This window comes from Homo sapiens, chromosome 8 (assembly GCF_000001405.40).
Source record: "Homo sapiens chromosome 8, GRCh38.p14 Primary Assembly".
Lineage (NCBI taxonomy): Eukaryota > Metazoa > Chordata > Mammalia > Primates > Hominidae > Homo > Homo sapiens.
Genome location: NC_000008.11, coordinates 120,938,565 through 120,939,363, shown reverse-complemented (window position 1 = coordinate 120,939,363; position 799 = coordinate 120,938,565). Strand labels below are relative to the sequence as shown.

The window sequence follows — 799 nt, the reverse complement described above, 5'->3', positions numbered from 1 at the left end:
CTCACCCCTAAAATCACACCATATAATCAGTCTCGTCCTCTTCTTAATGTAAGCCTAGTCTACCTGTAAGAGCACTGGTATTCCAGGGAATAGCAAATCACCTGAGGTCTTAAATTTGTCCTGTGATATGACCTGACACCATTAGATGGCAGCAATGACAAGTGACTGTGTCATCCTGACTCAGTTTTTAGGCGGACTAGAGCAGCACTTGGGAAAGTAAAGCAGTCTGTACGGTGGAAGATGAGTCAGACTCCTGGAATAATGTTTCAATAGGCCTAAATTTTCATTTTCTCCTACCATTCCCCATAAGATAGCTTGTTTTTGTATAGACCCTTCTGTTCTCTGGGAAAAAAATTCCTCTGGGTATTCAGTGTGTAAGGATTCCAAAAAACAATGGAACAATAGGAGTTCTTAAAAAGCATTTTATTTAGTTCAAGTTTTACTACTGAAAATGCCTCCTTCCCCTATTGTGACATGACGTTTGGCTCCATGTAAGGTGAGCAAACTTAAGTCTTTTTTTTTTTTTTTTTTTTTTTGAGACGGAGTCTCGCTCTGTCGCCCAGGCGGGACTGCGGACTGCAGTGGCGCAATCTCGGCTCACTGCAAGCTCCGCTTCCCGGGTTCACGCCATTCTCCTGCCTCAGCCTCCCGAGTAGCTGGGAGTACAGGCGCCCGCCACCGCGCCCGGCTAATTTTTTTTGTATTTTTAGTAGAGACGGGGTTTCACCTTGTTAGCCAGGATGGTCTCGATCTCCTGACCTCATGATCCACCCGCCTCGGCCTCCCAAAGTGCTGGGAT

The 799-nt window shown here is 45.8% G+C and overlaps 1 annotated feature.

The window, feature by feature from the left end:
- Nucleotides 1–295: an enhancer, noted in NCBI's record as "tiled region #15420; HepG2 Activating DNase unmatched - State 12:CtcfO, and K562 Activating DNase unmatched - State 12:CtcfO". NCBI's record gives its function as "activates a minimal TATA promoter and a strong SV40 promoter by Sharpr-MPRA in HepG2 and K562 cells {active_cell/tissue: HepG2 | K562}" and the evidence as "EXISTENCE:reporter gene assay evidence [ECO:0000049][PMID:27701403]".